The sequence below is a fragment of the Homo sapiens genome, chromosome 11 (assembly GCF_000001405.40).
Source record: "Homo sapiens chromosome 11, GRCh38.p14 Primary Assembly".
Classification (NCBI taxonomy): domain Eukaryota; kingdom Metazoa; phylum Chordata; class Mammalia; order Primates; family Hominidae; genus Homo; species Homo sapiens.
In genome coordinates, this window is record NC_000011.10 from 69,711,886 (window position 1) to 69,725,039 (window position 13,154).

General features: G+C 52.5%; 4 annotated features.

Annotated features, from left to right (window-relative positions):
- Window positions 402-602: a silencer, noted in NCBI's record as "peak1327 fragment used in MPRA reporter construct". NCBI's record gives its function as "represses an SCP1 promoter by STARR-seq MPRAs in K562 erythroleukemia cells {active_cell/tissue: K562}" and the evidence as "EXISTENCE:reporter gene assay evidence [ECO:0000049][PMID:32103011]".
- Window positions 8,944-9,595: an enhancer, noted in NCBI's record as "NANOG-H3K4me1 hESC enhancer chr11:69535597-69536248 (GRCh37/hg19 assembly coordinates)". NCBI's record gives its function as "activates a minimal SCP1, AML or CMV promoter by ChIP-STARR-seq in naive and primed H9 embryonic stem cells {active_cell/tissue: H9 hESC(naive and primed)}" and the evidence as "EXISTENCE:reporter gene assay evidence [ECO:0000049][PMID:30033119]".
- Window positions 8,944-9,835: a biological region, named in NCBI's record as "FGF19 upstream enhancer".
- Window positions 9,086-9,835: an enhancer, noted in NCBI's record as "RC15". NCBI's record gives its function as "enhancer in posterior midbrain/rhombomere 1, pharyngeal epithelia" and the evidence as "EXISTENCE:transgenic organism evidence [ECO:0001131][PMID:16930954]".

Here is a 13,154-nt window from a genome sequence, read left to right on the forward strand (position 1 = left end):
TGTCTCAAAAAAAAGAAAAGAAAAAGAAAAGGAATTCGAATCTCTTCCAGCCCTGTGGTATCTTAGCAACAGGGCTTCTAGCTGGGCAGAAGGGGTGTGTTTGGGGCAGCAGGGGACGCAGGCAGGGAGGTCCCATATGGGCTGATGTTCCTGTTTCTGCTGAGGGCTGTTTTGGGCTAATGGGGCTTCCATAAACAACAACTTTCTTCAAGGTCCACAGCAGAACACACTCCGGGAACTGACCCCTGCATGCGGTTTCATTTCAGGGGCCGCTTCCAGATGCTGAGTCCCCCACTTGCATGATCACTGTGACTTTGTAAATGCCAGTATTTCTCTCCTATCCGTATCAAGAACACTGATAGGAGAGGAAGTCACCTGCCAGTATCCGGTGGCAGCTCATAGGAGAGGAAGTCACCCGCCAGTATCCGGTGGCAGCTCATAGGAGAGGAAGTCACCTGCCAGTATCCAGCGGCGGCTCATAGGAGAGGAAGTCACCCGCCAGTATCCAGTGGCGGCTCATAGGAGAGGAAGTCACCCGCCAGTATCCCGCGGCTCATAGGGGAGGAAGTCACCCGCCAGTATCTGGTGGCGGGGAGTCAAGACAGAGACTTCCAGTTGAGTCACATTCAGTCTGTTCGCCTCAACTTGGAGGTATCAAGGCCTCACCCCGGGGAGTGGCCTGCAGTTATCCCTGCAGCAAGGCGGAGAGCCAGGTGTTGTTCCGTTTTACAGGTGAGAGGCCCACGAAGCCTGCCTGGCTGTAGGATCCACCAGTGGGTAAGGGGACCATGAGCAGACTCCGAGAGGCCAAGTGCATGGCCTGCGGTCACTCAGCGAGCAGAAGCCTCATGGACAGGGTTTCCCTCCCTGTCCAGCTGCCCCCAGGCCTGGCCAGAGATCAGCAGGCCGGACAGATATTCCCGGAGGCTAAGCTTGTATGAGTCTGGAGGGTGTCACTCCAGCTCATTTGCAATAGATGAGCTCAGAATTCCAGGGTTGGAAAGGACCTTCAAGAGGATTTCCTCAGCCAGGTGTGGCGGCTCACTCCTGTAATCCCAGCAGTTCGCCAGGCCGAGGCAGGAGGATCACTTGAGTCTAGGAGTTTGAGACCAGCCTGGGCATAGGGAGATCCCATCACTACAAAATTTTTTAAAAAATTAGCCAGGTGTAGCGGTGTGCACCTGTAATGCCAGCTGCTCAGGAGGCTGAGGTGGGAGGATGGCTCGAGGCTGGGAGGTCGAAGCTGCAGTGAGTCATGATCGTACCTCTGCACTCCTGCCTGGGTGATGGGATGAGACCCTGTCTCAAAAACAAAACAAAACAAAGATTTCCTCCAAGCCCTTTATCGTCACCTAAGCAAAATAAGCAAAGAAAGGGTTTGCCCGAAGACGTCCAGCCACCCGGCTGCAGCGAAGAGGCTGGAAGTACTTAAAAACAGCATCCCTTCCCTCCCCTAAAATAAGCACACACATGGCGGAGTTCCACATTTAATTTGTAATAAAGTCTTTTTTTTTTTTTTTTTGAGAAGGAGTCTTGCTCTCTCACCCAGGCCGGACTGCAGTGGCGCTATCTTGGCTCACTGCAAGCTCTGCCTCCCGGGTTCATGCCATTCTCCTGCCTCAGCCTCCACAGTAGCTGGGACTACAGGCGCCTGCCACTGCGCCCAGCTAATTTGTTTGTATTTTTAATAGAGACGGGGTTTCACCGTGTTAGCCAGGATGGTCTCCATCTCCTGACCTCGTGATCCGCCCGCCTCAGCCTCCCAAAGTGCTGGGATTACAGGCGTGAGCCACCGCACCCGGCCAATTTGTAGTAAACTATTTTTAAATAATAAAACCCCACACTTAGAAGAGATCTTATGAAAAATCCCTGCCTAAGCAGATTGGAGGTTGCCAGAGGTTGGGAAAGGAGAACAGGGGTGACTGTTTCATGAGTCAGGGGCTTTCTTTTGGGGTGATGAAGAAGTCTAGAAACTTGATAAAGGGAGTTTGGGGGAAGGTACTAAATGCCATGGTGAATTGTACACTTTAAAATGGTTAATTTTACGTTATGTGAATTTCACCTCAATAAAAAGAAATCATATAAAAAGAAAGGAAGCAGCCGGGCACAGTGGCTCACGCCTGTAATCCCAGCACTTTGGGAATCCAAGGCGGGTGGATCACCTGAGGTCAGGAGCACGAGACCAGCCTGGCCAACATGGTGAAATCCTGTCTCTACTAAAAATATAAAAATTAGCTGGGCACGGTGGCTACTGGGGAGGCTGAGGCAGGAGAATCGCTTGAGCCTGGGAGGCGGAGGTTGCAGTGAGCCCAGGTCGTGTCGCTGCACTCCAGCCTGGGCAACAGAGTGAGACCCCACCTCAAAAAAAAAAAAAAGAAAAGAAAAGAAAAAAGAAAATAAAATAAAAAGAAAAAAGAAAAAGAAAGGAAACAGCTAGGACCTCACTAAGACACTGAGACCCTCAGGGGGGCTTGGTTATGGAGTGGGAGTTGGTAGCAGCCCTCATAATGGTTGAACTTGCAGGCTTGCTGCTCGTATGTATCAGGATGGCATAGTGAATGTCCTTGTAAGAAACAAGTGCAGGCCAGGCGCGGTGGCTCATGCCTGTAATCCCAGCACTTTGGGAGGCTGAGGTGGGCAGATCACGAGGTCAGTAGATCGAGACCATCCGAGCTAATGTGGTGAAACCCCGTCTCTACTAAAAATGCAAAAAATTAGCCCGGCGTGGTGGCGGGCGCCTGTAGTCCCAGCTACTCGGGAGGCTGAGGCAGGAGAATGGCGTGAACCCGGGAGGTGGAGCTTGCAGTGAGTCGAGATCGGGCCACTGCACTCCAGCCTGGGTGACAAAGAGAGACGCCGTCTCAAGAAAAAAAAAAAAAAAAAAACACCTTGGGAGGCCGAGGCAGGTGGATCACCTCAGGTCAGGAATTTGAGACCAGCCTGGCCAAGATGGTGAAACCCTGTCTCTACTAAAAATACAAAAATTAGCTGGGTGTGGTGGTGGGTGCCTATAATCCTAGTTACTCAGGAGGCTGAGACAGAGAATTGCTTGAACCCGGCAGGCAGAGATTGCAGTGAGCTGAGATTGTGCCACCGCACTCCAGCCTGGGTGACAGAGTGAGACTCCATCTAGAAAGAAAGAAAGAGAGAGAGAGAGAGAGGGAGAATGAAAGAAAGAAAGAAAGAAAGAAAGAGAGAGAGAGAGAGAGAAAGAAAGAAAGAAAGAAAGGAAGGGAGGAAAGAAAGAAAGAAAGAGAGAGGGAGGGAGGGAGGAAGGAAGGAAAGGAAGGAAGGAAGGGAGGAAAGAAAGAGGAAGGAAGGAGAAGGAAGGAGGGAGGGAGGAAGGAAGGAAGGGGAGAAGTATTTGGAGAGAAAATGCCACAACTAACTTCCAAATGGCCCAGGAAAATCCATATGTGTGCATAGGTGTGTGTGATGAGAGTGAACGCAGAAGGGGTGGGGTGCAGGGGAGTGGAGGTGGAGGCTGTACAGGTTTTGTCAGACTATTCTCGAGACTCCTCTGTGGGTTTGAAATTTTTCAAAATAATAAAAAAATGGAGGGGAAGAAACCCAACCCACCTGCCTGGTACCTGCCTGTGTCTTATTCGCCAGAGCCCTCAGCTGCGATGGGCAGGCGTGTGCAGCTCACACACTGGTTTCCAGACATGCTCCTGTGGAAGCCTGCAACACTCTGCGCAGGCACTCGGCACTCGGGTGACCGTCACTGGCCCCAGCTCCCAGAGCAGGAAACCGAGGCTCAAGAGGCTACACGCCGACCCACGCGGCGAGGCCCAGCACCAAAGACGGTGCAGAGGAGAAAAGTCGAGCTATTCTGGGTCCCCGTGGGGCATGTCAGGGGATTCATATTGCATGCCCAATGTGACAGGCGGAGGGCATATTTTCCGAGGCAGCCGGTCCCTGGGGAGTGACCCAAGCTCATCACTCTGTCCTCATCCTGCCCTGATCAAGGATGCGGGGGCTCAGTCTTTTCTCAATCGCCAGCTTCCTTTCGGGTCAGAAGTTATGCTTTGTGTTTTGTTTTGTTTTTTTAACAGAAAAGTTTTTTACAAACTTGGTTGTTGGGTCTTCTTCAGCATGGAGGAGTCAGCGTCCCATCTGAAGTCACTCTCAAGTACGAAGCTGAGAGGCCAATCCACGCCCAGGCCACAGAGAATAGCCCCTTTAGGACTAGAGATCTTGAGAAGGCCAGCTCCCGCATCCGGTGATCCAGAGCTTTCTGCAACTGTTTTCTTACTAATGAGAGGCACCGTATAGCTGAAGGCCCTCTTGAGGCCAGACTCTGTGTGTGTGTGTGTGTGTGTGTGCATGCTTGTGTGTGTGTGTGCACATTTGGTTATATGTACGCATGTGCCATTGTGTACATTTGTGTGAGTGCATGTGCTCATGTGTGCACATGTGTGTGCGTGAGTATACACAAACGCGTGCTCATGTGTGTGTGCACATTTGAGTATGTGTACGTATGTGCCATTGTGTACATTTGTGTGAGTGCATGTGCTCATATGTGCACATGTGTGTGCATGAGTATACACAAATGTGTGCTCATGTGTGTATGCGTGTGCTGCGTAGTTCTTGCAGCAGCGGCTCTGATGGCTCATTCTCCATGTTGCAGAAGAGCAGATAGAAGCTCAGAAAGGCTCAGGAAGAGCCCTTGTCTCCTTTGCAGCACTTGCTATAATTGCCTTAAAATAATCATCTATGGAATTATCTGCCCATGGTCTGCCTCTGCCTAGTGTCTGTAAGCTCCATGGTCTCACACACGTGTGTGTGTCTTGGTCACTCCTGCCTCCCCTGGGCCCAGCATAGCCCTGGCAGGGCATAGGTGTGATGAATCTCCTTCAGTAGAGGGGAGAAGGGTGGGAGGGAGGGAAAGAGAAGGGCAGAGAAAGAGGGGGCTTCAGCCTCCTTCTAGCTTTGCCTTTCCAGCAGGCCAGGGATGTTCCTGCTTTAAGGCATTTAAACAGATGCTCTGGGCTCAGCTCTGGCTAGGGTTTCTGGCTGCATGCACCACAGATCAAGGGGGCTGGAGGATTCCTGCCACAGGCTCCCACTGTGTGCCTTGGGACAAGTCCTTGGCTCAGTTTCCCCACCTAGGAAACAGGATGGACACGGGCTTGCAGAGGGTGGCCAGAGGGAGCCAGGCCAAGCGGCTGGGATGTGGGGGGCTGGACTAGGAGGGGCCTCTTCCCAAAGCCCCAGCCAGGGCTTCCAGTCCCCCCAAGACTTGCCATGCTTTGCCTCCTTGCAAGGAACTCCCGTCAGCTCCTCAACCCTCTGCTCCAGGATGGTGCCTGCCCTGAACCCTTGCCATCCCTCCTCCACCATCATGCTTCTTGTTTCAGGCCCTCTATGGGACAGGGAACAGATGCAAGTGCCTGGTCCAGGCTGTGTGTGTGCAGGATCTAGCACAGCCCCATTCTACAGATGAGAGCACTGAGGTGAAGGGGCTGTCAGCCTTGGCCAGTGGAGAGTGAAAAAGAGCTCCTCCTTCCTTGCTCCTCACTGCCTCCAGTCTCCTTCCTTCTCTCCCCTCCCCTTCTCACCTCCTCCCTCCTCCCCTCCTCTTTTCCTCCTCCTCCATCCTCCTCTCCTCCCTCCCCTCCTCTTCCCTCCTCTCCTCCTCCTCCCTCCTCCCCTCTCTGACTCTCACCCTCCCCTCCTCCTCCTCCCGCCTCCCTCCTCCTCCTTCCTGCCTCTCCCTGTACACTGCTCATTGCCGTCACTACTGGGGCTTGGGGTCTTTTGCTGGGATTAAGTCCATGGTCCTGGTTGCAGCTAGGGGCTTATTCCCACAGGTCCCATGGCCAGAGTGGGAAACACGTGGATTTCCATTTAAACCTCATTTATGGTGGTGCAGTCAGCCTGTGCCCAGCCTGATTCCCAGAGGTCAGTTAGTGGGTGGGTTATGGGGTGTCCCTCGTGGAGAGGCTGGCAAGGAGAGTCAAGCCAGGATGGGGTGACCCCGCCAGTGTGGAAAACCTGGCTTGTGTGGGCAGTGCTTCCTCTTCCATCTCCAGCATCTGATTCCCATGGCTCTGTTTGTTTTAAGGGTTTCTTCTAGAAGCTTCCACACAAGACAGTTGGAGTCACAGTCTCTGCTCCTCTTGAACTTGGCACCAATGACCCTGAATCTTTATGTGACATCCTTATGAGACTCAGCTGAGCTCTGGGCTCTGCTGAGCTGAGCTGGGGTCTTGTGGGGTGTAGTGGCAGCTGGGGCGCCTCCAGTACCCCTGAAGACCCCAAGGGAGCACCCCACCTGCCAGGCATCAAGTGCTCAGGGCTCTTCTGAGCAGTAGCAGCATGCTTTGGCTTTCCCGGTCAGGTCGTGAGAACAGCAGGGGCCGCCCACCGGGCACCTTGGCCCCTCAGGCTTTAATGAGCAAGCGAATGACTGCCAGTCTCACACCAGCCCACGAGGGGGCAGGTTTTCCTGCCTGAGGCCACACAGCTCTTCAGCTGCAGGGTGGGGACTCACAGCCGACCGCGGGACTCTGATGAGTCCCCTGGGGCTCCTGCGACAATGATCACAGATGGCGGCTTAAGCAAGAGATTTCTGCTCTCACCGAGCTGGAAGCTGCAAGTCAGAAATCAAGATGTTGGCGGGGTCAGGGCTCCTGGGGCCCAAGGGAGGATGCCTCCTGCTCTCCGGCCCCAGGTGTCGGCCTCCTCCTTCCCTGCTTTCTGTGTCTAAACTCTTGCTCCGTCTTTCTCTTCTGTGGACATCTTCTTTTTTCAGGACTCTCATCGTCTAACTCAGTGCCCCCTGTCCAATCCGGGATCATCTCTTCTTGAGATCCTTCACTTAATGTCATGCACAAAGACCCTTTTCCAAGTTAGGTGACTCCCACAGGTTCTGGAGGGACACACATCTTGGGGGGCATCACTCAGCTGACTCCGTGAGTCAATGCTCAACCTTCTCAGCACACGGGCCCCAACCCCAGGAGCTCCTCTGCTCCCCAGAGAGGGGGAGTGGGCAGTGGGTCCCCACAGTGTCCCCGAGGTGAACTTGGGAAGTTGTTGAATGATTTTGCAGAAAATAGGGGTGGGCGGAAAGGAAGCCAAACCTCCATCCTCACCCCTGCTTGATTCTTCATGGAGTTTGTCTCTGGATGCACCGTCCTCAGAAGGGAGAGTTAGCAAACTACACCACCGAGCACACACTGTGGGGAGCACATCTGCAGGGAGCACACCGGTTGAGCGGGCCTGGGGGACCTTGGACAGAGGCAGCTTGGAGGGAGATGGCAGGTCCAGATGCCCCTGAGGATGGACTCGGAGGGGTCCTCCCAGCAGAGGGCCAGGGACATTTCTTGATGTTGGTTCACTGAGGGGCCCAGCTCCAGGCACCCCGGGAGCCGATGGGCTCATTGACACCATCCCCTCTTGGCCTGGCAGGCTTGCAAAGCTGCTCCCCAGGTCCCTAGCAACTGCAGCCTGGTTGTTCCCATCGGATGAGACCACCCCCGTTTGGGACCTGACCCTTGACTTCCCTTGGAAGTGGAGACGGTGGTGCAGTTTGCTAACTCTCCCTCCTGAGGACGGTGCATCCAGAAACAAACTCCATGAAGAATCGAGCAGGGGTGAGGATGGAGGTTTGGCTTCCTTTCCACCCACCCCTATTTTCTGCAAAATCATCCAACAACTTCCCAAGTTCACCTGGAAAGTCGTGAGGAACTGTTTGCAAAAGAAGAAATACACATAGCCAACGAGGATAAGAATGTTCAAACTGGAGGGAGAAGCCTTCCTCTTACTTAGCAAACTGACAGAGGCTTATCTGAGAAGTCCTGCTAGGTAGAGGTTCCTAGGTGTCGGGGGAGCAGCCTCTCCTGAGGCCAGTGGGTGGAGGAGTGAATCGGCGAGGGTCTCCAGCCTGGCAGAACCCCTGCAGCATCCATCCCAGTCCACTCCTGTGGGAAGCCACACTGTGATCACGATGAGTCCAGAGTACCTGCCAGGTCCCAGGAGACTCTGCCCAATGCCCATAGACTTTGCCAACTGTTGCCTGGCTTTCTCGGAATGAGACAAGCTGAGGAGAGCAGGGCCTGGCTTCATGGGGTCCGCCGCAGCTCCCACCCTGGCACAGGATCAGCACAAAGTGAGCTGATTCAATGAACGAATACGCTTCAAACTGTTCATCCTCTTTAACCACACAATTCTACTTCTAGGAGTTTAACATAAAGAAAGTCCTTAGGCCGGGCGCGGTGGCTCACGCCTGTAACCCCAGCACTTTGGGAGGCTGAGGCGGGCGGATCATGAGGTCAGGAGTTCGAGACCAGCCCGGCCAATATGGTGAAACCCCGTTTCTACTAAAAATACAAACGAATTAGCTGGGTGTGGTGGCACATGCCTGTAATCCCAGCTACTCAGGAGGCTGAGGCAGGAGAATAGCTTGAACCCAGGAGGTAGAGGTTGCAGTGAGCTGAGATCACACCACTGCACTCCAGACTGGGCAACAGAGCAAGACTCTGTCTAAAAAAAAAAAGAAATTCCTTAAAGAAATATGCAAAGATGCTCATTAGGGCCCAGTTTTGTCCAGTTTTGTGCAACTTTTTTCTGTAAGGGGCCAGATAGTAAATTTCAGCTTTGAGGGCCGTAGGCCTTTCTCACAACTCCTCAACGCTGCTGTTGGGGCATGAAAGTGGCTACAGGCAATGCATTCACGAATGTGCATGTCTGTGTGCCAATAAAACTTTATTTCTAAAAACTGAAACTTGGGGCCAGGTATGGTGGCTCACTCCTGTAATCCCAGCACTTTGGGAGGCTGAGGCGGGCAGATCACTTGAGGTCAGGAGTTCGATACCAGCCTGGCCAGGATGGCCCATTTAACCCATTGAACAATGGGTTACATGAAGAAGAGTTCATTCAAACTATTAGGCCCCCGATAAAAATTGTCACCATGTGAGGCAAGGTACAAACAGCAGGACACCCAGCTCTACAGTAAAATTGGTTCTGTAAAAGCAAAAAAAAAAAAAAAAAAAAAAAAGAAAAGAAAAAAACACACATTCTGGTCCATTTTTTTAAAAGTAAGAGAATACACCCATTCTGTCCTTATTTTTATCTGTCTCTTTTTTCCTGCATTTCCTACACTGAAAATGGATCACTTTTATCATCACAGCACAGAAGCTATTAAACCAGGAAGAGATATTTTTAAAATGTTAACTTGGGGCCAGGACAAAGGAGGCCTGTGGTGTGGTTGAGTGACTCCCATCAGTCAGCAGCGAGCGACCACATGCAGGGACATCGTGCAGCTTCAGTGGTCAAAGGTGTGCAGACAGCGCTGTCTTACCCGTCCCCGAATGTCACCTTCCTCCCAAACAAATCCCCGGGGCTCCTGCACAATGGCTTTCTACTCAAGATCCTCCAGCCGGAACCTCCCCGATGTTTTCCTTAGAGGGTCAGAGGAGCTGCCCCCTGGGATGGAATCCACCGCTCCCTGGCTCACTGGCTTGGCTGCCCAGGGCTGTGACCTCTTGGAGCCAGGCTCTCTGGGACACTTTGTGCTTGCGAAGGAGGCTTTTAACTTTTTCAAATGCGTTCGCAGCCCATGATGGTGTCTTCTCCAAAGGGCTCCATGAAATTCTCGGAGACCTGTCAAACCTGGCGAGTCCGCAAGTGCTTTGATTTACAGGACAGATGTTTGCCAGCCGACACTTGGAGGGACGGAGGAGGCGGGGCGGGGTTACATAAGAATAGGGGTGTCAGCTCCCAAAAGGTGGCAATCTCAGCTCTAATTCCTTAATGCCCAATATGGTTCAGAGGTCGGGCTGTTAATGGGCAGGGAACAAATTGGGGATCGCCACCTGTGCTTCAGCCAAAGGGGGAGGGCACCCCCTTTACAGGCCACAGACCGGCTGCCAAAGCTGCTGTGCTCCTGGGTCTGCCACTGACCAGGTTTGCGATGCTGTTTGTCCTCTCTGAGCCTCAGTTTCCTCACCCATAAAGCAGAGCCACGCTGAAGAGTAAATGAAAGCAGCCCGGAAACACCCAGCCCTGGACCTGGCACGCGGCAGGTGCTGTTTTTCTCTCGCTGCACCTCCCCATAACCCAGACAGGCCATCAGAGGGCAGAGTGGTACCCTTCCAGCGGGCTTTTTCTGTATTATAGAAACTTCCAGGAAGGGTGGACTGGCAGACACCAGGCCTTAGGAACCTTTGTTTATCAGATTCCTGGTCTCTGCGAGATGAAGGGTCCAGGGAGGACAAGGGCCCTTGTACAAGGCTGCTGTGCACAGTGGCACAGGCTTCGCACTGCACAACTACACAGTTGGTGGACAGATGGAAGATGGTGTGACATGGCGGCCTGGGGGGCTCAACCAAAGGGTAGAGGTAGGGAAAGAACAGACTCCAGAGTGCCTGACTTCTGGCTCCAATGCTACATGACCTGACTTCTTTGAGACAGGGTCTCGCTCTGTCACCCACCCAGGCTGGAGTGCAGTGGTGTGATCTCCGCTCACTATAGCCTCAACCTTTCAGGCTCAGGTGATCCTCCGCCTCAGCCTCCTGAATAGCTGAGACTATGGTTGCATGCCACCATGCCTAGCTAATTTTTGTATTTTTGGTAGAGGTAGGGTTTCACCATGTTGCCCAGGCTGGTCTCAAACTCCTGGCCTCAAGCAATCCTCCTGCCTTGGTCTCCCAAAGTTCTGGCATGAGCCATTGCGCCTGCCCTGACTTCTCCTTCTCCTTCTCCTCCTCCTCCTCCTCCACTTCTTCTGCTTCTCCTTCTTTCTTCTTCTTCTTTTCTTTTTTTGAGACAAAGTTTCGCTCTTGTCGCCCAGGCTGGAGTGCAATGGTGCAATCTCAGCTCACTGCAACCTCCGCCTCCCAGGTTCAAGCGATTCTCCTGCCTCAGCCTCCCAAGTAGCTGGGATTACAGATGCCCGCCACCACACCTGGCTAATTTTTGTATTGTTAGTAGAGACGGGGTTTCATCATGTTGGTCACGCTGGTCTCAAACTCCTGACCTCATGCAGTCCGCCTGCCTCGGCTTCCCAAAGTGCTGGGGGCCTGACTTCTTTATTTGTGCATTTAGTGACTCTGTGCTTCTCCTGCTGGAGAAGCAGGAGTGTGACCTCACAGGGGCAGGCAGGCCCCTTGTCCTCCTGAGTACTGCTGTTTCTCCAGCATTAGTTCAGCGCTTGGAGCACTGGAGGTGATCGATGGTTATCTGTGGCATGAGTGAAGTCGGGTTCGGGGGAGATGGAGTAGGAGAAAGAGAAACTTTCTGAGCTCCTGGCTAGCCCAGCACGCCAGGGAGAGGGGCTCAGGGTGAACTGCACTGGGTGCAGGCTTGGGCTTGTCACCAGAGATGATGAAGCCCAGACTACCTTTAACCCCGGGTGAGAAGATCATGGTGGGGTTTTCCAGGGCCACTCTGCCTGGGTTCTGAGCAGTGAGGAAGACTGTGACCTAGAATGCAGACCTCAGTGCAGAAGTGGCTCCCAATTCAGGAAAAAACACAAGCCCAGCACATCGGGTCATTGGTGGGGAGCTCCTGGTGGGCTCTTCTCTTTAGTTTTTTCCTAATTTTCAAATTTTCTCTAAAGACTGTGCAGAACTTTTATAATGTTTGAAAAATACAGCAGGGCATGGTGGCTCACGCCTGTGATCCCAGCACACTGGGAGGCCGAGGTGGGCAGATCACTTGAGGTCAGGAGTTCGAGACCAGCCTGGGCAACATGGTGAAACCCCGTCTCTACTAAAAATACAAAAATTAGTCGGGCATAGTGGTGCGCACCTATTATCCCAGCTACTTGGGAGACTGAGGCAGGAGAATCGCTTGAACCTGGGAGGCGGAGGTTGCAGCGAGCCAAGATTGCGCCACTGCACTCCAGCCTGGGTGACAGAGCGAGAGACTCTGCCCCAGGAGAGAGAGAGAAAAAAAAAAAACACCTGGAAGTTGGGTGGGGGAGGTCACCTGAGTGGGTGAAAATGTCTGTCTGGATAAATAGATTACACTCTTGTTTATCATAGTGAAACATTGGAACCAACCTCAATGTCCAGTCTCTGGGGACACTTTGGTACCCAAACCATGAGTGGCTGTGCCAGTCAGTAGCAAGGTGTGCTTGCTGACATAGACAGATGTCCCTGGCATTCCATAAAACCAGGCTTCAGAACATCACCTGCCATATGAGCCCAAAACAAACATGCTCAGTGTGAGCCATATTTATGTTAAACCATGAAGAGGGTATAAAATGAAATATGAAAGCAGCTCCCCCACCGCTCTCAGTATCCCTGCTGTTAACAGATTTTTGTTGTATGTGCCTAAGAATGTTCTATGTGGGCCAGTCGCCGTGGCTCATGCCTGTAATCCCAGCACTTTGGGAGGCCGAGGTGGGCAGACCACCTGAGGTCAGGAGTTTGAGACCAGACTGGCCAACATGGTGAAACCCCGTCTCCACTAAAAATACAAAAATTAGCTGGGCATGGTGGCGGGCGCTTGCAATCCCAGCTACTCCAGAGGCTGAGGCAGGAGAATCCTTTGAACCTGGGAGGCGGAGGTTGCAGTGAGCCGAGATCATGCCATTGCAATTGCACCCCAGTCTGGGTGACAGGGCGAGACTCCATCTCAAAAAAAAAAAAAAAAAAAAAAAGAGTGTTCTCTGCACACACAGCATTTATAGGAAAACCTTTTTGTTTGACATCTGTGTAGCCACATACTAACCCCAACTTTTCTTTTCTTTTTTCTTTTTTTTTGAGATGGAATTTCACTCTTGTTGCCCAGGCTGGAGTGCAGTGGTGCGATCTCAGCTCACTGCAACCTCCGCCTCCCAGGTTCAAGCGATTCTCCTGCCTCAGCCTTCTGTGTAGCCGGGATTACAGGCTCCCACCACCATGTCTGGCTAATTTTTGTATCTAACTTTCCTTTTCAAAGATCTATACATATCTGCAGAGCAAAATTGTCTGCTTAAAAATCAGAGTGCAGTGGTATCATCTCAGCTTACTGTAGCCTCGACCTTTCAGGCTCAAGTGATCCCCCTGCCTCAGCCTCCCAAGTAGCTGGGACTACAGGTGCATGCCACCACGCCTAGCCAGGCTGGCATCATTTGATAAAGTTGAAGGTCTGAGTGCGGTATGACTGCTGGGTGAATTCCCCTCAGGACCAAGGTGTTCTGAGCAGCCAGGTTCCAACAGCTC